The sequence below is a fragment of the Homo sapiens genome, chromosome 5 (genome assembly GCF_000001405.40).
Source record: "Homo sapiens chromosome 5, GRCh38.p14 Primary Assembly".
Taxonomy (NCBI): Eukaryota; Metazoa; Chordata; class Mammalia; order Primates; family Hominidae; genus Homo; species Homo sapiens.
The window spans coordinates 67,464,779-67,492,573 of record NC_000005.10 but is presented as its reverse complement, the minus strand read 5'-3'; the positions used below and the strand labels follow the sequence as shown (position 1 = coordinate 67,492,573).

At 36.2% G+C, this 27,795-nt stretch overlaps 1 long non-coding RNA gene across 3 annotated transcripts; it reads left to right on the top strand.

Moving 5' to 3' along the window:
* On the top strand, positions 1–27,795 carry LOC101928819 (uncharacterized). 3 transcript variants are annotated; one of them, XR_948391.3, is made up of 5 exons: positions 1–117; positions 1,930–1,994; positions 24,521–24,668; positions 25,636–25,701; positions 27,247–27,795. It is a non-coding gene; the product is annotated as an uncharacterized LOC101928819 (long non-coding RNA). The 3 variants fall into 3 exon arrangements; XR_948390.3 differs by lacking the exon at positions 1–117 and having other exon boundaries at positions 1,911–1,994; XR_241808.5 differs by lacking the exons at positions 1–117; positions 1,930–1,994 and adding an exon at positions 17,097–17,159.

The window sequence follows — 27,795 nt, the reverse complement described above, 5'->3', positions numbered from 1 at the left end:
ATCCCAAAACACTTTCCAAGTATGGAAATCTCAAGAGATTTTAACTACCATTATGAAGAGCACAACTTTGGAAGGGAAAGGCCTGCCTCCTGTTGTAAAGTAGGAGAAGGAAACAAGGTAAAAAGTGATAAAAGGCATTAGAGGCCTAAAATGTATCTATTACTACTACTGATATGATTAATATTTAATACTCATCTTTAATATTGAGCTTCAGATTTCTTATGTATTTCTTATTATGGGAAATTCTTATGCCATAAAGAAAACAGTCACTTAACTCTCTTTGCTTCTATCTAGTCTATTAATTGCTTTTGCTGAAAATCTAGGTTTAAACTTTCATGATCCCTCAGTCATGAAATCTTCCCAGGGTTTCTAACCTGGAGACCACATGGATGGAAAAATAATTACATACTATTTTTATTTACATGTAGCAAAAATTTAGTATTCCTTCAACTGTGAATAAAGGCAAAAAGAAGGAGAGAGAGAATGAAAGAAAGAACCCACAGTTGTAGTGGTACCTGTGACTTCGTCAAAAGTATAAAATATAACTATTTTTATGTCGTTACAGCAGTACATACAGATGAATTATTTATGCTTATCACTGTGTTAAAATTCAACAGTTTTTATTAAAACCCACTGGTAGATTTTTTAGTGTATTTATAATGAAGCAAATTTATTACTATACCACAGATTTTTATAAATATCTTGGTAACTGCATGTCAGAATAATCCTATGCAATTTACTTTATACATTTAAAAAAATAAAATAAATAACATTATTGTGAGAAGTCCGTAGGCACAAACTGCTGAAGGAGAATGTGGCACCAAAAAAATGCTGAGAAATTGCACATCATGCCTAGATGATTGATGGTACAGCCCAGTGATACATCAAGAAGGATTCAAAAGAACCAGAAAAAGGCATGCCAAGCTTAATTAGCAATGTTGGCCATGCATACAGGGAAATACAGGGATGTGTAACATGTATTTGCTATTCCCAATTCTAACACCTTTGGATAATGTTCACATATTTGTGAAAGAAAAATAGCTGCAGGGTGGTTCAGTTATCATAAGAAAATTCTAACTCCTTTTAGCTCCAACAACTAATGCCAAATATTCTATAGGCAAAATTCTATAGGCTAATTCCAGTTCAAGGATAGCTTTAAAACCCTACAATGTGCTTCCTCTATTTTGAGGTCAATCCAAGACAGCAATCTGAAATAAACAAGTTCTCTCCTTCCATATAAATGTTAATTAAAAAAAAAAACTCACCTAAGGCCTTATATTGAGACTGCATTGTTTTTGGATCAGCTGCTTCTAATCCTTTCACTTACATCTGTAGCTTTGTGCTGTCAGTAATCGTAGATTCATAGTCATTGCAAACATAAATCTTTCTCATAACATTCATTTCAAAATCCTGTAGTTGAGAATTCACTTACTATAAACACTCCCTCAGCAGAAGTTGGGTGTTGGCCATGTAGCCTGGAATGGGGTACTTAGCATTCCCAAGGTGTGGCTCAGGAAAATGCAAGCAATTGAAGTAATTAGTGGCACTTGTACGTTGTAAAGCATTTTGTTGTATTTCCTCACCCAGCAGAGGCCCTTTTTCACATTTAAAACAAAAAGGTTGGATATTTAAAAATGTGATATACAGAAAAATGAAAAGGAACAAGTTAGGGAGTAGTCCTATTAAAAAGCACTGTCTGGAGTTGGGAGATGGGTTGATATGGTTTGGCTGTCTCCCCACCCAAATCTCAACTTAAATTGTAGCTCCCAGAATTCCCACGTGCTGTGGGAGGGGCCCAGGGGGAGGTAATTGAATCATGGGAGCCGGTCTTTCCCGTGCTATTCTCGTGATAGTGAGTAAGTCTCACGAGATCTGATGGGTTTATCAGGGGTTTTTGCTCTTGCTTCTTCATCATTTTTCTCTTGCCAGCTGCCACGTAAGAAGTTCCTTTCACCTCCCCCATGATTCTGAGATCTCCCCAGCCATGTGGAACTGTAAGTCCAATTAAACCTCTTTTTCTTACCAGTCTCAGGTATGTCTTTATCAGCAGTATGAAAACAAACTAATACATGGGTCTACAAGAAACTTGATTGCTAAAGAGAAATTACCTGTGAAACTTTATAGCAGTACCTCCCCATCCTATTTGTCCTTCACTATTATACTTCCCTACTTTTCTCTTTAACTCTTGCCCCTCTAATTTTCCAAATCCTCTCTCTCCTTCCTTTTCTCTTCTCCATTTTTCTTTTTCTCCCCTCCCTCTCTTCCTACTCTTTTCTAGCTCTTCTTCTCATCTCTTCTTTTTAATTGCTATTCTTTCCCCTCCCTGAAGCCCTACAAGGAAATCCCACCTTTGTAAAGAAGAGTAGCCATAGAATTCAAGTGGTTAATATTTGCATAATATATCATTGCCCACTCTTTGACCTTCAACTTAACCACGTCTTTATATTTGAAGTATGTCTCTTGTAAACAGTATGTATTTGGGCCATGTGAGTGTGCACAGGTGTGTGTGTGCACATGTGTGTGTTTTAATCCATTCTGACAATTTAATTGGTGTGTTTACTTCATTTACACCAAATGTAATTACTGATACAGTTGGGATTTTTCTACCATCTTGCTTTTTCTTTTCTACTTGTCTATCTGTTCTTTGAACTTTTATTCTTCTCTTCCTTACTTATCTTGAATTAAGCAAATATTTTTATTATTCATGATATTTCTCCATTGGCTTTTTAGCTATATGTTTTTGTATTATTTTAGTTACACTGGAAGTTAAAATATGCACCCACAATTTATTATAGTTTGCCTTGAATATTGTACCATATCACAAACATTTTTACCAATTCCTCTGCCTTTTGTTATTGTTGTTATATATTTTATTTCTACATATGTTATAAACCCCACAATGCATTGTTATTTCATTGTTTGCCTTTTTATTAAAAAATGGACTTTTATGTTCACCTACATATATATCCTTTCTGGTGCTCTTCATTTCTCCCTGAAGATCTGTGCTTTCATATAGAATAATTTCCCTTCATTTGAAGAACTTCTTTTAGTATTCTTGCAGGGCAAACTTATTGGCAATGAATTCTCTTGGCTTTTGATTGTCCAAAAAGGAGTTTGTTTTTGAAGAATATATTTACTTGGTATGGAATATAGGTTGACAGACACTTGAAGTCAGGTTCTCTGGGAAAGAAACTATATGATGAAGATTAGTGTGTACAGGATGTTCATCTCCCCTGATCAATGCCTTTGGGAGGATGAAGGAATAAGGACTGAGCAGAAGGAGAAGCTGAGCTGTGTCATGGTGTCACAACAAAGGCCTCAGCTGTCCCTATGGGGAGCTTTGAAGCTGAGATTTCTCTGCAAAGTTTTCCTCAATTGGGATAAAGGAAAAAGGCCTTTATACTCCAGTATCATCAGCGAACTTTTGGAAAGAGTTATTTTCACAGGCTGCGTTCTCTTCCCCTCCCTGAATTTCTATAATCTGGCTTCAGACTGTTTCCACTGGAACTTTTCTAGTCAAGATCAAAGACAAAAATCCATGGCTGAATCCACTCAATGCAGAAAAGAAATTTGGCAATAGCGATACGAATTTAAAATATTTATATTCATTGACCCAGCAATTCCACTTTTAGGAATATGTTTAATGGAAAAAACTGTAGACAAGCAAAGATCACACACACACACACACACACACACACACACACACACACAAAATGTGTGTTTGCCATTTGTTTGTAATAGTAAAAAGTTGGAAAAAACTTAAGTGCCCATTAATAGAAGGTTGGTTATATAACAAATGTTATTTAGTAAAAGCATAGTAAATATTTTCTGATGGAGTGGCTGAGAATAACCAGTTACCATGACGTATATCCTCTGGACTTGGGGCTTTGATGATCTCCCAAGACACTTCTATTGAATTTGAAAATAAAATCCCACTTTTATTATTTCTGTTGAAATAGGTTTGGTATTTACTACAGAAAATTCCTTAGGATAATTAGGGGAATCAATTAGAAATGGAAATGGATCAGTAATAGAGTACATATTTCTTACCCTAAAGTAAAACTAAATTGGCCAAGAAATTTGCTAATCTGACACAGTTTACTGTATACAGATGCCTCTCTTCACCTCTATTTCTAACAGATTTGTGCTTCACAAACCCTCAAGTATAAGTATCTATTTATTTATTTACCTCTGAGCTAATTAGAGAGGCAGAAACCTATCTGTTTCTGTCACATATATTTTATAGATACATAAAAGGTAGCAAGTATACATAGTAAGTAACAAGTAAATGTCTGTTGAACCAGGATTGGGGGAAATACCCCAAAAGCCCTCGTTTTAGTCCCTTGTCAGTTTTCCAGTTTTTATTATTGTGTCCTACCTCCTGTGTGAGTTGACGGGTTGTGAGTGAGAAGCACAATCTAAATAAACACTTGCTGTTAGACCATTAAATGGGCCCCTGCTGGGGAGAATATGAAAACCTCTGACTTCTCCAAGAATAACAAAACATAAAAGAGCTACTATTCCTACTTTGATAAAAGTTGGTTCTGCCACCTGAACCCCACTCCCTCTTCTCCCTCGATTCTGTTTTATGAGCTGATATAATTTCATCCTCTTATGCTTATACGGCCATTGCCCAATCATTATGCTTCTGGAAGAGTAACCACCTTGCAGAGTCTTACATACAATGTGGACTCACATTCCACCACAATTGTGGCCAAAAACATGTTGTTTTCCTTTTTCAAAAAAAGATTAGCAGCTTTATTAAGGTGTGCTTGACATGCAATATGCTGCAAATATTTAAGGTGTACAACTTGATAAATTTTGACATTATCACACACCATAATAGGAAGATACTAATGAAGATACTAAATGTATGCATCCCACAAAAGCTTTCTTGTGCTCCTTCATAATTCACTCCTCCATCCATACATAGCAATCTGTAAGGAAAATTCTATTCAATTCAAAAAAATTCAGTTCAATTCAAATTCAAAAAATGCATTCATATGCATATGAAATATCTTAACATATAACCCTAAAATGTAAATAAAGATAATATTTGTGATGGGAAGGAATGGTATTTATTATGGGTAAGTTATAATTTTCTTCATTTTTTTCTATTTTTACGTGTTCTAATTTTACACTCATGTAACAAACCTGCACATGTACCCCTTATCTAAAAGTTGAATTTTTTAAAAAAGGATAATACATGTAAAGAACTTAGCATAGTGTCTAGTATTTAGTAGACATTCATAAATTTTATTACTAATATTAATAACAGTAATGATAAGTATAAAGTAATGAAAAATAAAAACCATTTGACTTACTTAAAATTTTATAATATAACCCTTAATTTAAAAAATTATAATGACAGGATTTCATTCTTTTTTATGGATAAATAGTATTCAGTTGTGTAAATATGCTAATTTTTTTAATCCAATCATCTATTGATGGACACTTAGTTTGACTTCATATCTTGGCTAATGTGAATAGTGCTGCAATAAACATGGGAGTGCAGATATCTCTTTGGCCTACTGATTTCTTTTCCTTTGGATATATAGCCAATAGTGGCATTGCTGGATCATATGGCAGTTCCTTTTTTTTTTTTTTTTTTTTTTTTTTTTAGAGGGAGTCTCACTCTCACTCTGTCACCAGGCTGGAGTGCAGTGGCATGATCTCAGTTCACTGTAACCTCTGCCTCCTGGGTTCAAGCAATTCTCCTGCCTCAGCCTCTTGAGTATCTGGGACTACAGGTGTGTGCCACCATACCCAGCTAATTTTTTTTTTTTTTTTTTTTGTATTTTTAGTAGAGATGGGATTTCATCATGTTGGCCAGGATGGTCTCCATCTCTTAACCTCGTGATCCGCCCGCCTCGGCCTCCCGAAGGGCTGGGATTGCAGGCATGAGCCACCACACCCAGCCTTTCTCTTTTTTTTTTTTTTTTTTTTTTTTTTTTGAGACGGAGTTTCTCTCATTGACCAAGCTGGAGTGCAATGGTGCGATCTTGGCTCACTGCAGCCTCCTCCTCCTGAGTTCAAGCGATTCTCCTGCCTCAGCCCCTCAAGTAACTGGGATTACTACACCACCATGCCTGGCTAATTTTTTGTATTTCTAATTGAAACAGGGTTTCACCATGTTGGCCAGGCTGGTCTCTAACTCCTGACCTCAGGTGATCTGCCCACCTCGGCCTCCCAAAGTGCTGGGATTACAGGCGTGAGCCACCGCGCCTGGCCTGACAGTTGTATTTTTAATGTTTTGAGGAACTTCCATACTGTTTTCCATAGTGACTGTGCTAACTTACATTCCCACCAAACACGTGTAAGTATTCCCCTTTCTCCATATCCTCACCAGAACTTGTTATATTTTGTCTTTTTAATAACAGCCCTTCTAATTGGGGTGAGATAATATCTCATTGCAGTTTTGATCTGCATTTCCCAGATGATTCGTGATACTGAGCATTTTTTCGTATACCTGCTGGCCATTTATATGTCTTCTTTTAAGAAATATCTACTCAGATTTTTTGCCTTCTTAAAAATTGAGTTATTTGGTTTTTTGCTATTGAGTTATTTGAGTTTCTTAGTACATTCTGGGTATTAACCTTTTGTCGGATGTATAGTTTGCAAATATTTTCTCTCATTCTGTAAACTATCTCTTCACTTAGGTTTGTTTGCTGTACAGATGATTTTTAGTTTGATGTAATCATATTTGTCTATTTTTGCCTATGCTTCTGAGGTTTCATCCAAAAAATCTTTGCCCAGATCAATATCATGAAGCATTTTCTCGATGTTTTCTTCTAGTAGTTTCATAGTTTCAGGTCTTACATTTAAGTCTTTAATCCATTTTGAGTTGATTTTTGTAAATGATGAGAGATAAAGGTCTAGTTTCATTCTTCTGCATGTGGATATTGTTTTCCCAGCACCATTTATTGGAGATTGTTCTTTCCCCAATGTGTGTTCTTGGTGCTTTTGTTGAATATCAGTTGGCTGTAAATGTATGAAGTTACATCTGGGTTCTCTATTCTGTTCCATTGGTCTGTGTGTCTGTTTTTATGCCAGCATCATGCTGTTTTGGTTGCTACTGCTTTGTAATTTATTTTGATGTCAGATAGTGTGATGTCTCAAGCTTTCTTCTTTTTGTTGAAGACTTGTTTGGTTATTTGGGATCTTCTGTAGTTTCATACAAATTTTAGGCTTGTTTTTTCTATTTATCTGAATAATGTCATTGGTATTTTGATAGGGATTGCATTGAATCTGTGGATCGTTTTGGATAGTATGGACATTTTAACAATATTAATTCTTCCTGTCCATGAACATGAAACATTTTTCCACTTGTCTGTGTTTTCTTCAACTTCTTTCATCAATGTTTTGTAGTTCTTATTGTAGAGATCTTTCACTTTTTTGGTTAAGTTTATTCGTAGGTAACTCTTAATTTATATTTTTGAAAACTCCAAATATATATATAGTGAGCATATATATATAAAATGAGTGTAAAGAAAATCATCACAATATTTACTACATATCTCTTAATGATAGCCTTTGGGATATTAATTTTTCTTTAATATCTTGGTATTTTCCCTACAATGAGCATGTATTTCTTTTTATAATAAAAGAGAAAATGTTTTAAATAAATGAGACATTTAGCAAATCACTAATAGAAAGTATACATTCATAAACATGCACTTCAGCAAGTCAAAGCAAGATGGTCCGCAATGGAAAATGGAAACTCTAATTATCCAATTATGAAAGAGTTAAATTAGAAAGAAACAACTGAATTAAGGATGGAGAAAGAATCAGTGGAAAGTCTGTGGACAGAAGGACCTTAATAATTCCAGAGCCAACCTAAAGCACTGCTGACTTGGCCAATTCTTTTTTTTTATTATTATACTTTAAGTTCTAGGGTACATGTGCACAATGTGCAGTGTGTTACATATGTATACATGTGCCATGCTGGTGTGCTGCACCCATTAACTCATCATTTACATTAGGTTTATATCCTAATGCTATATCTCCCCCTCCCCCCGCCCCACAATAGGCCCCAGTGTGTGATGTTCCCCTTCCTGTGTCCAAGTATTCTCATTGTTCAATTCCCACCTATGAGTGAGAACATGCGGTGTTTGGTTTTTTGTCCTTGCAATAGTTTGCTGAGAATGATGGTTTCCAGCTTCATCCATGTCCTTACAAAGGACATGAACTCATCCTTTTTTATGGCTGCATAGTATTCCATGGTGTATATGTGCCACATTTTCTTAATCCAGTCTATCATTGATGGACATTTGGGTTGGTTCTGATTTGGCCAATTCTTTGAGTAATTCAATTAGGTTAATTTAGTTTAAAATATATAGAATACTGAAAGAAAACCTTCAAGGTAACAGATCTGTTTCCTTCTCAGGAGTTGAGGAAAGAGATCTTTCATACTTTTCCTGAAGACAGTGAGGGTTTCTTGAGAATCAGATGTCTGAGGCATCTAGACCAGAACAAATTTGGTCTTTAAGCTCCCAGTCATAATCTAATTTTGTCTATTCCATCTTTTATTACTGAAATGTTTGATACAGAATTCTGGCTATTTTCTAAACTGGCAAAACTAACCAAATTCTCTGGTTGTGCATTGGTGACAAATGGCTTGCACTTCTACACATTCTCAATTCTAGAACCCATTTAGAACTCAATGACATTCAGACTGAAAGAATCAATTTGTTTCTTCTTGCACTTTGCCCCAGTATGTGAGAAAATGTGGTTAAGAGAAATCACTTGTCTAACCTTTGAATGAATGAAAACTATTTTGTCACGGGATGAACTGAAAGCTGCTTTAAATTTGAGTATATTTCAGAGAGTAGTGGTTAGAAAAATATCTCCACATATTAGGCTTTTATCTTGTTTCTCTAGATCAGTAATCTTCATAGTGTGGTCATGGGATGAGCAGCACTGTTAGAAATGCAATTTCTTGGGATTCACTCTACTAGTGAATCAGAAGCTATGGGGCTGGGGCATAGCAGTCGGTGACTTAAGCTTTCTAGATGATTCTAATGAATGCTAAAGTTTGAAAATGCTTTGGATTATGTTTGATGCAGATCCTTAAAAATCTACTTAGAGGACAGAATGAAGGATGGACAACCCCTATAGAAAAAAAATTTCTTTCATGATATATTTGTGGAGATTTTACAGGATTGTTTATCAATTATTATCTCTGAAAGGGGAGACTTCTGTCATTTATCAGAATTCTTTTGATAAGGAAACAACACAGTGACATTTCAGAAGCAAAAACTATATGCCATTGTGTTCCTATTTAACAAAAAACTTGGTGAAGATAGCAAAATTCTATTTAAAAGAATCGTGGCCTTGTTTATCTTGCAATACACAACATCACATAATATCCCTATATACTCTTTGGTGTCTGATCAAGTTGTACTTATGCTAACATGAAAGCCCTGAAATCTTTAAATCTACCAAACACTAATATAATAACCATGCTATATCATTACCATTCAGTTCAAAAATTATAGTTCATCTTATCTAACAATTCAGAAATAAGTTAGAGAATAGAAGTAAAGAATTCTAGGACACAGACTGCCAAAAATAACAAAAATCTACAGATTGTCAATTTAGCAATGTTGAGTTCACATTTTACCACAAAGATGCTATCTAGAAAATTAGAGAATGGGGTATATACTTTGGTGGAAAGGAGTGAATTTTGACAAGAGATTGGTGCCCATGTCTAATTAGGCAAGAAAAATACATAAGCAGCAATAATCAATAAAACAACTTTTGTTTCAGAATAACCTCTGGAATCTTCAGAAAATTTTGAGCACATCCGCTCTTTAATCTTTAAAGCAGAGTTGCAGCTACCTATTACAGTTATCTACTTATTTTACTCACACATCCGCAATTTGAACAAGACTCTGGGGCCGGGTGGGGGTAGCTCATCTCAGCTCCACAGGGTGTCAGCTTAGGAAGGTTCAAATCTCGAGGCTGGAGTGAGGGGAAGACTCCTTTACTCATGTCAGATCGTTGATCCTAGTTGTTAGTTGAGAACTTAGCTGAGATTATCAGCCACTTAACAATGTCCTCTTCATGTGGCCGGGGCTTCGTAGACTGAGCATCATGAGAGGAATTTCAAATGGAAGTCATGTTACCCTTTACAGCCCAGCCTCGAAAGTCAAGGCTGGCAAGATTTCTGCTACACGTTATTGGTCAGAGTATTCACCATCCTTCCCAGGATCAAGGGGAAGGAACATTCACCCCACGTTTTGATAGGTGAGTGCCAAAGTTCTGGAAGAGCATGTGGGACTAGAAATTTAGCTATGGCCACTTTTGGAAAATACAATGTGCCACAGTCCATCCCCTGGCCACAACAACTCACATACCTGCCCGAGACGTGAGAGTGAGTACGCATTCAGATGATTCCTGCCCTGAGCCTCAGAGCTGACCCTGTTGATTCCGAGGGGAGCAGAAAAACAGCTATCCCCACTGAGCCCTGCTCAAGTTGCAGATTCACAAGCAAAATGAATGTTGTTTTGTTTTAGGACATTACATTTTGGAGTGGTTTGTTATGCAGCAATAGATAAGTGGAACACAGACTCTCAATTTTTTTTTCTCCTGGTGGAACACTGGTAAGAGACTCAATGGCACAGAAGACACTCTGTCCAACTCAACTAGATTTTAAAAATAAGATTAGCTGATTCCCAAGCTCCAACCCATTTTGTTTTTCCAGAAAGCTTTTTGCAATATCAGTAAGTGTGACTTGTATCATTATACCAGTAACCTTGAATTCAAGTGAATTTATGCAAAATGACATATTACACATTTTAGTACCTTGCATATTTCTTGTGACATACCTCACCAATTATTACATGCTAGGATGTTTCAATGAGATGTATGTTGAAAGCCACTGCTGTAGATACTCTCATAAGTAAAAATTGCTTCAAAAAAGTTCAACAAATGACTGCAACATAAATGCCGAAACCTGAGTTGTTTCCTTCTTTCAAGAAGGTTTGCCTGTGGCAGCTTGCTGCTGGCTAGACAGGAGCATGAGTCAAAAGAATGGGAAACTGTGGCATTATGATAATTTTTTTCTGTTCACACAGAGACATGATGGAAGAGCCATCAGTCACTCCTCTATCACCTGGCACCTAGTCCATTGGGCAAATTCTTCAGAAATACTGTGGTCATGCTTCTCATCATGTCCAGTGGAATCTCAGCATTGCATCTAATTTTACCTTCTTCCCAGATGAAATTTTAAATAACTTACATGATCATTGTATTAATAAGGTGTTCAGAAAATAACTCATGGGTTTGTGGGATATTTTCCACTATCTCTGGACAAATCTCTGGAACCATTTCTAAGGGAATGGATCCGGATAAGGTACTTCCCATACCAGTGGACAGTTCTAATCTGAATCAAGACATGGGAATCATATTCACCCTGTATTCATCCTGTCTCTTTATTCATCATGCCATGCCCTTCTTCACAGTCCTTGCCAGTTATGAGACTACATCTGTTGGCCTACAACTGAGCAAGTAAACTTTTTTTTTCAACTTTTATTTTAGGTCAAGGGATTACACGTCCAGGTTTGTTATATGGGTAGATCGCATAATGTTGAGGTTTGGTGTACAATCATCCTGTCACCCAAGTAGTGAGCATAGTACCCAATAGGTAGTTTCTCAACCCTTGCCCCTCTCCCCCACTACACCCTCTGGTAGTCCCCCCAGTGTCTATAGTTGCCATCTTTACGTCCATGTGTACTCAATGTTTAGCTCCCACTTGTAAGTTAGTTTTCTGTTCCTGTGTTAATTCACTCACATGATTACCTTCTCCTTTATGGCTGCATAGTATTTCATGGTATATACGTACCACATTTTCTTTACTACATCATTAATGGGTAGAATTTTCACTAAAAGCACTCAATACAGTTTTCCAATGGTCTCCATTGGAACTTTAAATTCAGCTTCTAAGTGCTTTGTCTAGTTAATTTGCCTGCTCAGGATTTCATGCACCCTTTATTTCAGTAAGCAAAAAAACTGTGAGAAGAAAAAAGTCTATGCCCAAGTTCCTGTTGGTTGAAGAGTTTTGCCTTCTGTGGAGACAAGTTGCCTTGCGAAAGAGCCTTGACTATGCTGCTTCTGCCAGATCACTTTACCTAATTGTCTATTAAGCCATCCCCATAATCAAAATGTTCTCTTGAGTTTTTTAACAGGAACACGGATTTTGATAATTAAATCAACAGATTTGAAGCTTTCAGACCATTTATTAAAAATTATCTTGGTCTAAAAACAAAGTTCCAAACAGTTTATAATCACCATAAGTGGAAAATGTGAAACATTAAAATAATTGGTTACTGCATGCTGTTTTCAAAATGAAGCCAAGGTCTTGATTTTAACCTGCAAGGACTACATATTTTGCACTTGTAGGGAGACACAAGGTCCCAGCACTCAGGGATAGGTCATAACGTAAAGGAAATATCAGATGACAGATAAAAGCAGAGCCTGATTTCCCCATCCACCCTGAGCAACCAAAGGATCAGAAGGTCAATTTTGGTCTCTGAAGTCCAAAACCATCAATTATGAAAACTCCCTCACTTGGGGATAACTTATATTTTTCATCAGTCTCCGTAAACTTAGAAGCACTGAATATCCTAGTATATAAAATGTATGTCTCTGACCTGCTCACAAATGCATTGAGTGGCCGTGGGTGTGTGTGTGTGTGCGCGCGCGCATGCATGCATGTTGTGTGCATATTCAATCATAGTATCTAATACCATCTCTCAATATTTTGTAAAACAAAAGCAAGCCATCATTTGCATTCATAAATGAGGCCCCTCTTGTTTTTCACAAAAACAAGGCTTTTTAAATAAAAGATGCCACCCTCCTGTGAGGCAGACCCCTGCCAATTGCTGTTAGATTTGTTATTCGAAGTGTACTTCCACTGAAGAAACTGACTTTGAGCATTAGTGGAACGCCGTACAGGTTTTATCATCTATTTGCCCAAATGGAAAGGACCGTAGCCTTGGGGATCATTTACTGGAACTGGCTTCTTCCTCATTACCTGGTTCTTGCACTAAGTGAAGCAGATATAAATTTGGAACATCTGTCTAGGCAGCCAAAATGAAAGCTTAAAAAATTTACTGGGTAAAAGCTTTCAGGGCTGGGCCACAGACGGCCAGAAGACTGCTATGGCTGATATGGACTACTTCTCTTCCCCTGGCCCCACGCCCTGTGCTGGGTTGATTTCAATCTAAACTCTCCCTGCCCTGCAGACTGGCCCATGGATTTAACAGTAGGGTGCCAGGGATGCTGAGCTTCTTGTCCTGGCTCCTTCTAGTTCAGCGTGGGGTGCCAACCAAGCAATGGGCATGAGCATGAGGAAGTTCACAGTGCACAGGTTCTTCTCGGGTGTATCTCCACAAGAAATCTCACTTGAAGAGTTCAAGTTAAAGTTGCTTTGAGATGAAATGCAAAAGAACAGCAATTAAAGCATTTTTATTGGCTTCATAATTTCTAACTGTAGAACAGCTACAGTTGTCTAATATAACTACCTGTAGTGTACGTATGGAGAAAGTAAATGAGATCATATTGAATGGCTTCTTTATGTTTCTCATCCATGAGATATTAACTGCCTCTGTTTAACTATGTCTAGGTCCTGTATTTTAAAGTGTATTTTCCAGAGGTTTGGAGCTTCGGCAAACCTTTGAGCCTCCTTTCAGACAAAAGCCATGTCTAATTCAACATTAAGTCTCAAGAAGCTAGCAAAGTACCTAGCAAAAGTACTCTGTAAATGCTAAAATAATAAAGTATTATAGGCTTGGACACTTTCATGTGTAAACATATCTTAAGGTCATCCTAATGTTCCTGTTCCTTAAATTTACATACATGAGTCCTTAAAAGTTATTTCATGTGATAATTGTTTGACCTTTTTTATTGTCAGCTGTAGGGAAACACTTACAAGGTCTTAGGACCCCTTCGAAACATGGGTGGAAGTGAAGGTCACTATCTCAAGTGAAACAAGCCAGGCACAGAAAGAAAAATAACACGTGTTCTCACTCATAAGAGCATGGTGAAAAATGTGTTCATATGTATGTAAACAGTGGAATGATAGATAATGGAAACTCACAAGGGTAAGAGAGTAGGAGAGGGGAGGATGATGAGAAATTGGTTAATGGGTATGATGTACACCATAAAAGCCCTGACTTGATCACTACACAATCTTGCATGTAATACATTGCACAGATTTGTACCCCATAAATTTGGACAAAAAGGAAAAAAAGGCAAATCTAAGCAAGCGTCTTCAAACATGAAAAAAAATTTCTGAAGATCTTGTCAGTCTTAGTACAATAGTAGAGTTAAAAGTGCACAGAAAGACTTTTATCCTAGGATAGAGAATTAGAATATAAGTCGCAGCTCTTGCACAGAAGCTCCATGGGATGAAGGACTGATATAGTTAAAAAGGAAATAGTACAAACATGATGCTAGGGAGATCTGTTCTTTCCTAGAAAACAATTCATTTGGAAGAGCTTTACCACAGTCTACCTCTTCTCAAATCACAGTGGCAAATAACTGTCAGTTCCTAGAGGAATCATAAAGACCTTAGAATCTAGAAAACAATCCATGAAGTAACATACAGTATAGTCTTTGCAGCTACCAATACATGTGGCTGGTGTTAACAGAGGAATCATGAATGGTCAGGGAGGTCTCTTAAAAGGTAACGGAGGCTGGGCACAGTGGCTCATGCCTGTAATCCCAGCATTTTGGGAAGCCAAGGCAAGCAGATCACCTGAGGTTAGGAATTTGAGACCAGCCTGGCCAACATGGTGAAAACCTGTCTCTACCAAAAAAAAAAAAAAAAAAAAAATATTATCCGGGTGATGATGGCACACACCTGTAATCCCAGCTACTCAGGAGGGTGAGGCATGGTCATTGCTTGAACCTGGGAGGCAGAGGTTGCAGTGAGCCAAGATTGCACCACTGCATTCCAATCCAGGCAACAAAGTGAGACTCTGTCTCAAAAAAAAAAAAAAAAAAAAAAAAAAATGGACCCAGTGAGGGCACCATGTTTTTAAAGGACAAGGAAATCTGACTCTTCTTGACTTGGAATCCAAGATGCCCAAGAGAAAGTATAGTCTAGGGAAACAGATTCCAAGTACAGCTGGAGAAGAGAAAACTGTTTAGCAAAGTACAGGAAGGTGACCCAGCATTGATCACCATGTGTAAAAGCTATCTGACAAAAAGATGATTATACATCTTTTTCAAACTATCCAAATATACAAACATATGAGATGCACAAAGAAGATGAATGATAAAAAGTAGTCATAACTAGAGCAGCCATGGTAGCAAGGCTAAAAACATTGACTTGAAAAGCTCTAGTCATCAACATCCTCACAGAAGAGACATTACTATCATAGGAAAAGCAGCCCAGTGAGGACCGGCAGGATGCAGAGGATGGCTCAAACCAGGACCAGCACCAAAGCTAAGATGTTGTTTCTCAGCCCCAGTAGGTAAAGGATTTTGCCAACATGTGGAGAGAAATGCAAATTTATAAAAGAATCAATGTGTGTGATGTGCCTATGTGTGTGCTCATTCATTTACAGTACATTTGCATTTAAAATAAATGTGAACTGAGTGTGTGTGTGTGTGTGTTTCCTCATAATGGCTAAAGAGTTCTACTTCTTGATTCCTCCAAAGAGAGTGAATTGTCAACTTGGACAAGTGTATCAAATTTTTCATACATATTTTTCTCATAAGGCAAACTGAATCATCTCAGAGAGACTACCCATGGTATAAGCAAGCACAAGAAATGCTTGAGGGCACAGCCACTTCAAAGTCTTCCATTTTTACTGCCTTGGAAATGACGTAATACTGATTTTTCTTCTGAAGACTTAAGTGCTTTGCGTTGGCTTAAATTCCTTTTAGGCCCATTTATCTGCTCCTTTTTTGTTTGAGCACAACTAGTGGGTAGATGAGGGGAGAGCTACAAAACACTTTCAGTGTACTCAAATCAAGTATACTTTAATCAAACGCCACTTTTTATTCCATAAGAATGTTGGAAATACCATTTCCAGTCTTAAAAATACCACTTAATCTGCTTACTCTCTGAAATAACTACTTTTGTTCCCAAAGAATGACTTGAGTCAATGATTCCAGGGTTTTAAATTTCACAATACCAGAAAATTAGAAAAAAAATTCTGCAGAGTTTCATAAGTTATTGTTTATGCTAAGAAAGCCCATTAAAAATTTCCAAGTACTGTCTTCATTTTACTATTTTTCAAAATTATTTTGAACACCCCAAAAGTAAGAAACATATATAACCTGAATATATAAACAAGGAAGTAATTTAGAAATTAAAAACTTACTATATTTTCCTAATTTTACCTAATTTTTAATGTAAGTAAATTTGAAGCACATTGAGACTCACTGGTTTAAACTGAAATGAGAAGATTTCCCTTGCTGATATAGAAAAAGACCATATAACTAGGAAGCCATTGATGTGAGGAGGTCATTATATTGCCCTCGAGATTTCAATTTAAAAGATACTAGAATGAGTAACAAACATCATCCAGTTTGGATAATTTAGAATCATTACAGAACTGTGCCTTGCCTTTTCTGCTGTTTTGTTTACTGACATTTACACTGATCTTTAAAACATCACAAAGTATGCTGCATGTACTAATTTGACCTAGAAATACTTTCATACAAGTACTTACATGGATATTAACATTGGAAACCTAATATCCCTAGATCCACTTTCGTATTTAAAACAGTACTCGTATTTAATAAACTTTTCTGCTCATTAACAGTTGTTCCATTTCACATATGCTGTTGCACATTAGACAGAAGAGAACATTGAGTTCTTCACAAGATACTTTCGGTTAAGCATGCCCTGGGATGGAGTTACCATGCTGACTTGATTTACTTCCATGCTTCTGCATCAATCAAGCCAGGAGGCTATAATTAGAAAACTTCCTTAAATATTAAAAATGTAATCATTGCAAACTGGGTCGAGAAGTGATTAATAGGGTTGGACAGCTTCTCTCACGCAGCCATCAGGGTAAATTCTCAAGATGCCAAACGATGAAGCAGAACTTTTATGGAGACCACTAACATTTACTTTCAGTTCTTCCTGAGAAAAGTACCAAGGCATAGGTTCCTTAAGTGATCTTAAATTGTCTCGTAAGGTAAGTCATTCCTGGTTACAATTCATTTGTTTTCTCTACTGGTACATTTGCTTTTTCTAAATAAGCTAATTCTGTGTTTGTTTCCAGGTTGCATTATACTTGACTTTTGAAAAAATTACATTTGGTGACATGTACAGTTATGATTTTTCCCTCGTTCTAGGTTATTGGTTTTTCTCCTATTTATTAGAAAAAAAAAATTACTGGCTACATTCTGTCAGCCACACTTTACAAATCAAACTCCCTAAATTTTCAGGAAAGCCCTGGTTCTCTCTACAGGGACCTCTACAAATCCAGTGCCATGAAGTGGTAGGATAACCTTTTGTTCAACTGCACCACGAGACCTTGTGGTTGCCAGTGTTCATTGGGACTGGTAACGTGGAAGGCCAGTGCTCTGGGGTTGGGTAACATGAACAGCCAGTGCTGTATGGATGTATAACATGTAATGTAAACAGACTAAGGGGCAATAATGGCATACCAGGATTCTAGGGGTCAATAACACCGAACACTAGTTTTCTGAGAGTCAGTAACATGGAATGTCAGCGCACTGGGGGCCAGTAACATAGAATACCAGCTCTTTGGGGATGCGTAACGTGGAATACTTGACTTCCAGCTACCATCAAAAGCCCAACAGAAGACTTCTAGCCAAGTAGAGCTGAAAGTTAGCCCTCTGATGCCGACCTTCTGCTCCCAACAAATAGCAACGATGGGGGAAATATACAAATAAAATCCCCCCAAAAGATATAGGCAGATTAAAATACAGCTAAATTCTGCTTATATTTCAGAAATGCTGAAAACAAAGGTATGGAAAATAGCTATTGTGGCAAAATAAAGGGAGATAAAGTAGAATTTAAGGCAAAAATAGTAAAGATCAAGAGGAATACTTTACAATAATAAAATAACTATGTCACCAAGGAATTCTAACATGTATGAGCTTATTTGCTACAAATGATAAAGTCTCAATATTAATTGGCTAGAAACTGACAGAATAATGAGCAATTAACAAATTTACAATATCAGAGTAGGATATTTTAAGTCCTCTATCAGACAAAAAACACTTGTACTGTAGAAGATTTAAATTAAAAATTAACAAGACATATACATCTTTATCTTTAGAATATTGCACCCAATTATCACAATAATTTTTCTCCATTCATGAGGAAATCTTATAAAAATTGATGACAAACTAAGCCACAAAACAAATCTCTCAAATGTCAAATCATCTGTATAATAAAGACTATACTTGACAATGTAATTAAGATGAATGATAATTAAAAGATAATTTATTAATATATTTAAAAACCCAAACTGCACTTCTATGTAACTCTTTGGTTAAAGGTGAAATTGAAATGGAAGAAAATGGCAATAAACATTTTATTCAAAACTGCAGCTGTAGTGGCACGTTGGAAGAAACTACTAACTTCTTTCTGAGGACAAAGTTGTCATGAGGTAGAGTTTTAGGAAGAACTATAAAAATCCATAGATTCAAGGAGATTAATAATGACAACTTTTAAATTCTTACATAATGACTGATACCCTACCACACATAACTACATTTGTGGTGTTTCATTAAGGATTACTGGGTTATGCCTTTACAAACCATAAAAGGGTCGATAGGTAAAAGGTTCATGCTTAAAGTGTCAGGTCAAGAACAAAGATGTCAGATATCGTGGGGTAGAATTTCTGTTCTTCTAGTTGTATGACTGTGGGCAAGTTATTTATATTCCTGAGCTTCAAGTTCCTCATATGAAAAATTTTATATATTAATAATCTCTACCATGTAAACTCTTTATGACACTGAATGACTTGAAATACATGAAACATAGTATAGTGCCTAACAAATAATAGGTTCAATAACTGTAAACTAGAATTTATTTTACATATACAATATTCATTTGATTATTTGTTTTATCACTCTTACACTCATGTATGCTCCTTGAAGAGAGAAATAATTCTTTGTTCATCTTTGAGCAATGATGATCACAAAATAGTGCCAAGTACACAGTTGGTGCTAAATAAATTTTTTGTATTAATGGAATTTAGTTAAACATATTCATGCTGCTGGCAGTGTTAGATGTTGAAATTATCTAACTAGCAAAAGAAAAAAGGAATATGGACAGGTTGCTAGTGACTAATAATTATATTTAAGTCTGATATCTAATTATCACTTCTCATTGAATATTGACACTTGAAATAGAGTCAAATCAATTTTGTTTCATCATGACTGACATTTTCAAATATTCATTAAATATTAAAACTGTTCAATAATAAGACATTATTATTGGGTGAGGTTGGGGTTGGGGCCTGGTTCGGTTTTCTAATTTCAAATGTATGATGGTGATAGAGAATATTCACTCAGGTAAGACCCATAACAAAAAAGGCACAATTGTGAAGGGCGTACAATACATATAATTTAGTGGCAAGTTAAATACACTTATGTAAAGGTAAGTTAGTATTCTTTATATTCTGAGAAAAATATATATATTTTCCAGCATTGAGTGTTTCTACAAAATTTGATAAAATTAAAATGTTAATTTCACTTTGATTGCACATGTTTATTTTATTTGAATTTACCAATTACATCTAGCAGTGCTGGTTTGTTTATTTGTTTTTTTTTTGTTTCAGAAATATCTGTGTAGTTTACTTTTTAGTACATGGCCACCTTAATGTGCAATGTGCTTTGCTGAGCCCAGTAAAAGTTCACAATGGATAACTGAGGGTCAGTTTACTTTGCTGCTGGTGCAAACACCAGTGGCATTCTTTTTGTAAAGCTAATGTTGGAGAAGACTAACCATCTGTTTTCTTCTTTTACTGAGTCTTTAGACAATGGAGTGCATCACTCAAGAATGAGAGATTTTTCTCTGGAGATTTTTCAGCAAAAAAAAGAAAAGAGAGAGTGAGGGAGGGAAGGAGGGTGGAAGGAAGGGAGGGAAGGAGGGAGGGAAGGAGGGATGGAAGAAGGGAGGGAGGGAGAAGGGTGTATAGCTATTTTAATGTAATAGATACATTATCCCAAGCTGCTAGAAATTGGGGCAAGAAACTAAATGGCATTACAGGGTTATACCTTTACAAACTATAAACTCCTGTCTCATCCAACTAAGTGATGTACTATTAAATAATGAAGTAGGTATGATATTATTAAACTAAATCTTTTTCTAGATGAAAGACAGAATAGGAAAATTAACATATAAGAACCTGGGAAAAAGAAGCTGTGAAGAACTTAAACATAGGGGTGAGACAACCCCAAATTATCCTTGAACCATACTCTTTTTATTGATGGAATGAATCAAGTATAAACCCATGTGATATATTCTTGGGCAAAGAAAAAAAATCTTACACAATTCCAATATTTGCATGTAAAAATGACTGACAATTATATAATCAAATTTATTGAGTAGGAGAGAAACAGAAGGAAAACTTGGGGGAAAAGACATTCACTGCTTAGAAAAGCCTGTCCCTTTTGAGATTTCCAATTTTTTGTGTATAAAGAACACTCAGTGAGATTCCTCTAGTGAGGGCTTGGACTCCTCTGAACAAATTGCCCCTTATTCTTTTTCTCAGGGCATCTTCTTATGCTAATTCGTAACAGTATCTTTAAAAATTTTCCATGTACCACTAATAAGTGCATTTAGCAAGGTTATGTGTTATGGGGTCAACTCACAAAAATCAATTCTATTTCTATATACAATCAGTAAACAATTGAAAAACAGAAATTAAATATGTTACCATTTATAATCAGATCAAAATATTAAAAACTTAGATACAAAATATTAAAAACTTAAAAATATGGTCAGGGCTTGCATGTTAAACACAAAATGTTGATTAAACAAATCAAAGAAGACCTTTGATTTCAAGGTATACCATGTTTATGGATTAGGAAGCCTAACATAATCAATTGTCCCCAAAGTGACTTAAAGATTTAATGCAATTCCTACCAAAATTCCAGGAGAATTTTATATAGGTATAGGCAGACTGATTCTAAAATGTATATAGAAAGGCAGATAAACTAGAAAAAAAATGAAAAAGAAAACAAAATTGTACAAATCACACTATCCAATATTAAGACGTACTATAAAGCTATAGTAATCAACAGAATGTGGTCTTAATGAAGGGATAGACATATGGGTTAATGCACAGAATAATAGAGAGTTCAGGAATAGATCTACACAAATATGGTCATTTGATTTTGACAAAGGTATAAAAGCAATTCAATGAGATAGGATAATTTAGATATGTTGTTAGAAAAATGGTACCATATGCAAAAATTGAACCTATATCTAAATTTTATACTTTATACACAGATTAACTCAAAATGAACAAATATCTAAATGTAAAATTATAAAACTTCTAAAAAAATAGGCATAAATATTCATGACTTGCAGTTAGGCAAAAAGTTCTTAGAAATGAAACAAAAAGCACAGTCCATAAAAATATAAATTGATAAATAGGACTTCATTGAAATTAAAAACTGTTATGGCCAAAAAACACTGTCAAGAGAATAAAACTACAGACTGAGATAAAATATTTTCAAATCACAAAAAACAACAAAGGACTTGTATTCAGAATATAAAGAACTCAAAATTCAGCAAATACCACATTATCTCACTTATATGTGGGACCTAAAAATTCAAACTCATAGAAGTAGAGAGTAGGATGGTGGTTACAAGAGGCTGAGGGTGGGAGATGGACAGGAAAAGGGAAATATCAGTCAAAGGGTACAAAATTTCAGTTAGGATGATTAAATTTTGGTATTCTATGGCACAGGATGGTGACTATAGTTAATAATTACGTATTATATATTTCAAAATTGCTAGATTTTAATTGTTTTCCCCAGAAATAAAGGGTAAGTATGTGAGTTGATAGGTATGTTAATTAGCCTGATTTAAACATTCTATAATGTATACATGTATAATTACATCACATTGCACCCAATAATTAAATATGATTGTCAATTTAAAAATAAATAAATAACACCCCAATTTAAAAGTGGGTAAAGGACCAAAGAGGATGTAAGGATGGCAGTTAAGCACTTGAAAAAACATACAACATTATTGACCATTAGGGAAATGCAAATTACAATCACAATGAGATACCACTACACATTTATTAGAATGGCTAAAATAAAAGATACTGATAACACCAAGTGCTAGCAAAGTGCAAGGAAACCAAAACTCTCATCCATTGCTGATACATACTGGCATACTCACTCTGGAAAAAAGAGTTTGGCAGGTAGGCATGCATGCACTTACTATCTAACACAGCAATCATATTCCTGGAAAAATGGAAACTATGTTCACACGAAAATTTGTACATGATTGTAGCAGCTTTATATGTAATAGCCAAAAACTGAAAGCAACCCAAATGTTCTTCAACAAAAGAATGGACAGTATGGAGTGGTACATCCTTATAATGGAATACTACTCACAATTAAAATGGATCAACTGCTGATACATGAATGAATCTCGAAGACATAGTGTTAAGTGAAAGAAGCCAATCTCAAAAGTGTATATACTCTTTGATTTTATTTGTACTACATTCTCACTAATTTTATTTATGTTACATTCACAGTGGCCAATGCCTGTAATCCCAGTACTTTGGGAGGCCAAGGCAGGAGGACAACTTGAGCCCAGGAGTTAGGAATCAGCCTGGGTAACACAGTGAAAACCTGTCTCTACTGAAACTACAAAAATTAGCTGGGTATGGTGGCACACACCTGTAATCCCAGCTACTCGGGAGGCTGAGGTAGGAGAATCACTTGAACCCAGGAGGTGGAGGTTGCAGTAAGCCGAGATGGTACCACTGCACTCCAGCCTGGGAGACAGAGTGAGACTCCATCTCAAAAGAAAATTATCAAAAAGACAAAACTATAGTGATGGAAATCAGTGGTTGCCATTGGTCATGGATTGGGAGAGAGTGTAATGATAAAGGGATAACATAGGGGCACTTTTGTAGGGTTGTTGAAACTGTTCTATATCCTGATTACAGTAGTGATTATACAAATCTATGTGTTAAAACTGTAATATTGTACACCAAAAAGTAAATTTTGCCGTATGATAATTTTAAAAATACAAAATTTTTAAACACTGTATTTGGCATTGCAAATTTAGGAAATGTTTCAGCCATTCCTAGAATTTACAATATGCCCCTATTACTAAAAATCAAACTTCAAAATCTGTAATTTAAGATGGTAGCAACTTCATCCATACTTTGGACAAAGAAGTGAGCTCTCCGAGCAGCCACCATAGCTTAAGCTACTAGGCAAGCAGAATAGCTTTTCTGATATGGCTTCATTCTCTTTTTGATCAGCCCTTGTATCAACCCCCATACTGACTACAGAAAGGATAGAGGAAGAGAGGACTGTTATTCTGTTGTTATGAAAAAGGCTGGAAAAAAAGAAGATGCCACTTTGTGGGCAATGATAATATTGCTTAGGGCAAGAGTCTAGGGGAGAGCTGAGAGCTGACATGGTTGTAAAGTAGTGTTAAAAGATAAGAAAGAAACAAGACCTTCCTTTGCTTTTAAGTTTTGACAAAGCTTATATATACACCATCCCAGCACAGTTTTTCTTGATGTATCTAATGCATCAGTATCACTCTTCCTCATTTTCCTGGTTTTGCTTCTTATATTCTTTTCTTTTCTATATTTTCTGCACTCCGTTTCTATGAGAAAGAGTCAAAACATAAGCTAATATCAGAGATTCATTTGAAAATAATTTCTAGGGATATCTTCTAGGTTTAGTATAGGCTTAGTTCCACTTCTCACAGCTTCCACATGTGTAGTCCTGCATCATAATTACTCGGTTGGTCTAGTGGTTTTGTGTTTCGTGTATTATTTTGGAAATTCCTGAAGTATCTAATAATTCAAATCAGATTATATCATTTCTGGGATAGTTTTATGGCTAACTGTATTATATTAAATTCAAATGTATATATCAAAATGCTCAGATAATCAGAATATTCACTCAACTAAAAGCCAGTTCCACTGGAGATAACCTTTTGCAAAGTGAGAAAAGTCCACTAGTGCTAAAACATAAGGAATATACAATGAAGTCATCATTACTTTGTCAGCCACATAATTGGAAAAAAATGTTCGACAGGTGTTTATGAACCACAAAAAAGGAAAGCTGATGGTCGTAATTCTTAATCTTAAGGTCCTATGCTTTGTTTCATTCCTCAAAGGATATTTTAAAACACTTCCTAGGAAAAAAGTCTCAAGTAATGAGCATTACCAATGACCTAGCTGCCATTTGTCACCCGATTTCCTGCAAAATGAATGTTCTTTATATTTTATCTTCCCAAGTATAAATGTCTTCACCCTTCAAACACTGACCATAACTTTAATAAAAAATGTTTTTTACTTTTCAGCATTTTATATGTGGGAAGCACTTAGGAAATAAATGTTCAATGAATGAATTAATGAAGGAATGAATGCAAAAACAGCTATGAAAAAAAGCTTAAAAAGATTCTGCCTGCTTATGCAAGATGCTAATCATAGCATTCCAGAATGCTAATGGTATGTCCACAAACTCCACCTTCTTCTGTATCTCTCCCCTGAGATGAACAGATAAGTCTATGGTCTCTGGGCCTTCTCATAGACCCATTATCTTGCACTGTATCCCTTTTCTCTGCCTAACTAAAGCATTTCTTCTGAAAGTCACTGCTGAGTTTAAAATGTGTCAAACCAAATGTCTGTGGCAGGCTAAAACACTCTAGCCTTAGCAAATTGCAGTCTCTTCATCTGGGTGATGTAAGCACTGGCCTTGGCTGTGCCCAATTTAGATATCAGAAACTTGTTCCATTTGTACTATGCTATTTACCTATTACACTCATTCAATTTTCCCACATACCTTTCCCAATTATCTACCAATTTAATCCATTTAATCTATCTCTACTACAGTAAATATGTTCCCCTTTAGCATTTACTAGCACTTGGGCCAAATGTTCAAGAGCCTCTAACAGGCTTTGTGATTCATTTATTTTTCCTCTTCCTGTTCAATTTTGTACATACTACTCATCACGAAAATGGATGCTGCTGCTGTAGATAAATGCACTGGCAAGAACCTAACTACACAATCAGCCATTTAGTCCTGAAAAACAGAGTAATGACTGCAAAATGGATCTGGGCCACAGGGCAGAAACCATACTTAAACTTCATTCAGCATAGCACCTGCTACAGAGCTGATGTAGTGAAAAATTGTGTCATGATGAGATGCCCTAGGTCTGGGTGCCATTTACTGTCCTTTCCATTATTGTTGATAATAGCAGTGCTTTCAAATGGAACAACATTCTTCCTGCCATGGATCAAAAAGATTTAGAAAAATATCCTATCATCCTATTTGAGAGACCAATAAAGTAATAATTCAATTTTCTTAGTATTGCTGAGACCTTGGCAGCTAATATTAATTATTATCTCTAGCCATTTGGCACCAGGTAGTGCTTGTAAATTACAGTAAACTGATTTTCTCTATTTTGTTTTGCAGGAGAATTAGCCCATTTTGAATTTTGGGAAGAGGACCAGTCTGACCATACATACACACTTTTCTCAGGTAACTCCTAGCATGACCAACTTTCTACTTTGACACTGACCATTTCATATAAAATTATGGATGCTGATTTCTAATCAGTTTACCTTTGCGTTATCCATAATATCCCACGACATTGCTTTAGTAGAGATACTTCTCAGTCTCGTTTTTTTTTTTTTTTTTTTTTGGCACTTCATGAAAGCTGTTTCTCCTATGTGCCAAGAAAAATCTCAACACTACAGAAGAGAAGTATGCATGGCATGGAACCTAAGAAAACTTCAGCATTTGCCACAATTAATAGGGTTATTTTATCCTGTAAGAAGGGAATCTCCTGGGTGCTGTGGCTCATGCTTGTAATCCCAGCACTTAGGGAGACTGAGGCAGGCAGGTCACCTGAGGTCAGGAGTTCAAGACCAGCCTGGCCAACATGGTGAAACCCCATCTCTACTAAAAATACAAAAATTAGCCAGGCGTGGTGGTGGGCACCTGTAATCCCAGCTACTCGGGAGGCTGAGGCAGGAGAATCTCTTGAACCTGGGAGGCGGAGGTTGCAGTGAGCCCAGGTTGCGCCACTGCAGTCCAGTCTGGGCAATGAAGTGAAACTGTCTCAAAAAAAAAAAAAAAAAGAAAAGAAAAAAAGGGAATCCATTGGTATAACCCATAACCTGAGCAGGGGATTATCAAATTTATAAGAACTTTATAAAAAGACAAACAGTTGGGAAACATAAGTATTTATTTGGCAGCTTTATTTGAACAGAGTTCTTCTTTAATATGGCCAGTTTTGGGGGCCTAATGGATGAATTAACAATTTCCCCCACACAGCACACAGAGTAGAGGAAAGGATACACATAAATTACCTGTTGTGGTTGACAACAGCCACATTAGCCCTCACCATCTGAGATTACTGAAAAAACAGATTGTGGTGAGAATTGCTAGTTGGCCACTTAGTTTGCATATCCTTTCCTCTTTCTTACTGACAGAATCTCATTTTATCCAAGGAGGCAACATGCCCAGCTAAGAGATTATATTTCCTAGTTGTCTTAGTCTGTTTTGTGTTGCTATAACAGAATACCACAGACTAGGTAATTAATAAAGAAAATAAATTTATTTGGCTCATGGTTCTTGAGCCTGGGAAGTCAAAGGGAATGGTGCTAGCATCTGCTTAGCATCTGGAGAGGGCCTTCTTGGCATCATCCCATGGATAAAGGAGGAAGAGCAGGAAAGCATGCACAAGAGAGAGCAAGAGATCAAACTTGCAGCCTCAAGCCCTTTCATAATTGTCATTAACCAATTCAAGAGGGTGGAGCCCTCATGACCTAAACACCTCCCATTAGGCCCTCCCTCCAATGCTGTTGCATTGGTGATTGAGTTTTTAATACACACTTTTGGGGGGGGCACATTTAAACCATAGCACTAGTCTTTCTGCAAGTTTCTGGGACTGAGACTTAAGTGGATGGAAATAATTGAGGGGGGCTTCTGGGAATGTTCTTTAAAGGGAGCCAGTTCCCTGGGGAGGGTGTTCATTTGTGGCCCTCTCCACCACTAACCACTTTTTTCTTTCTAAACAAGCACATGACAGACAGTAGCATCCTAGCAGCCATCCTGTATTTTGAAGATGAATGAGTGACACCAAGGATGAGAAAGTGAGTGTGGAGTCCTGGACTTCCCATCTCCAGACCTCTTACAGGAAAGAGGAAAAGGAAACCTGTGTCTTCTTAATGTCATGATTATTTGGGTTTTTTGTTCAGAGAATTCTGCCAAACCTAACACTCATTTAAAAGCTTATCAAGCAATTATTATAAATTTATTGAGTGAGCACTTTCTATTCTTAAAATTTGGGATTTGCCCTTTCATTAATAGTAGAAATATAAGAAATTATCCTTGCTCTTTTTTGAAAATTTACTTTAAGAAATAAGGCTGACCTTGAGCACAATGCTGTGTCAAAACTCTGTCAGAAATACACATAAACTTACATAACACTCCATACTTCTTTTGTGGTGACCCTTTCCACATGACTTTTCCTTCTTAATAGTACTGTAAGGTTCTTGAAAAAGAAGCTGGGTCTAATTCGTACATCGAGTAATCAATAAAAGCATTACAGCTGTGACACAATGAAAA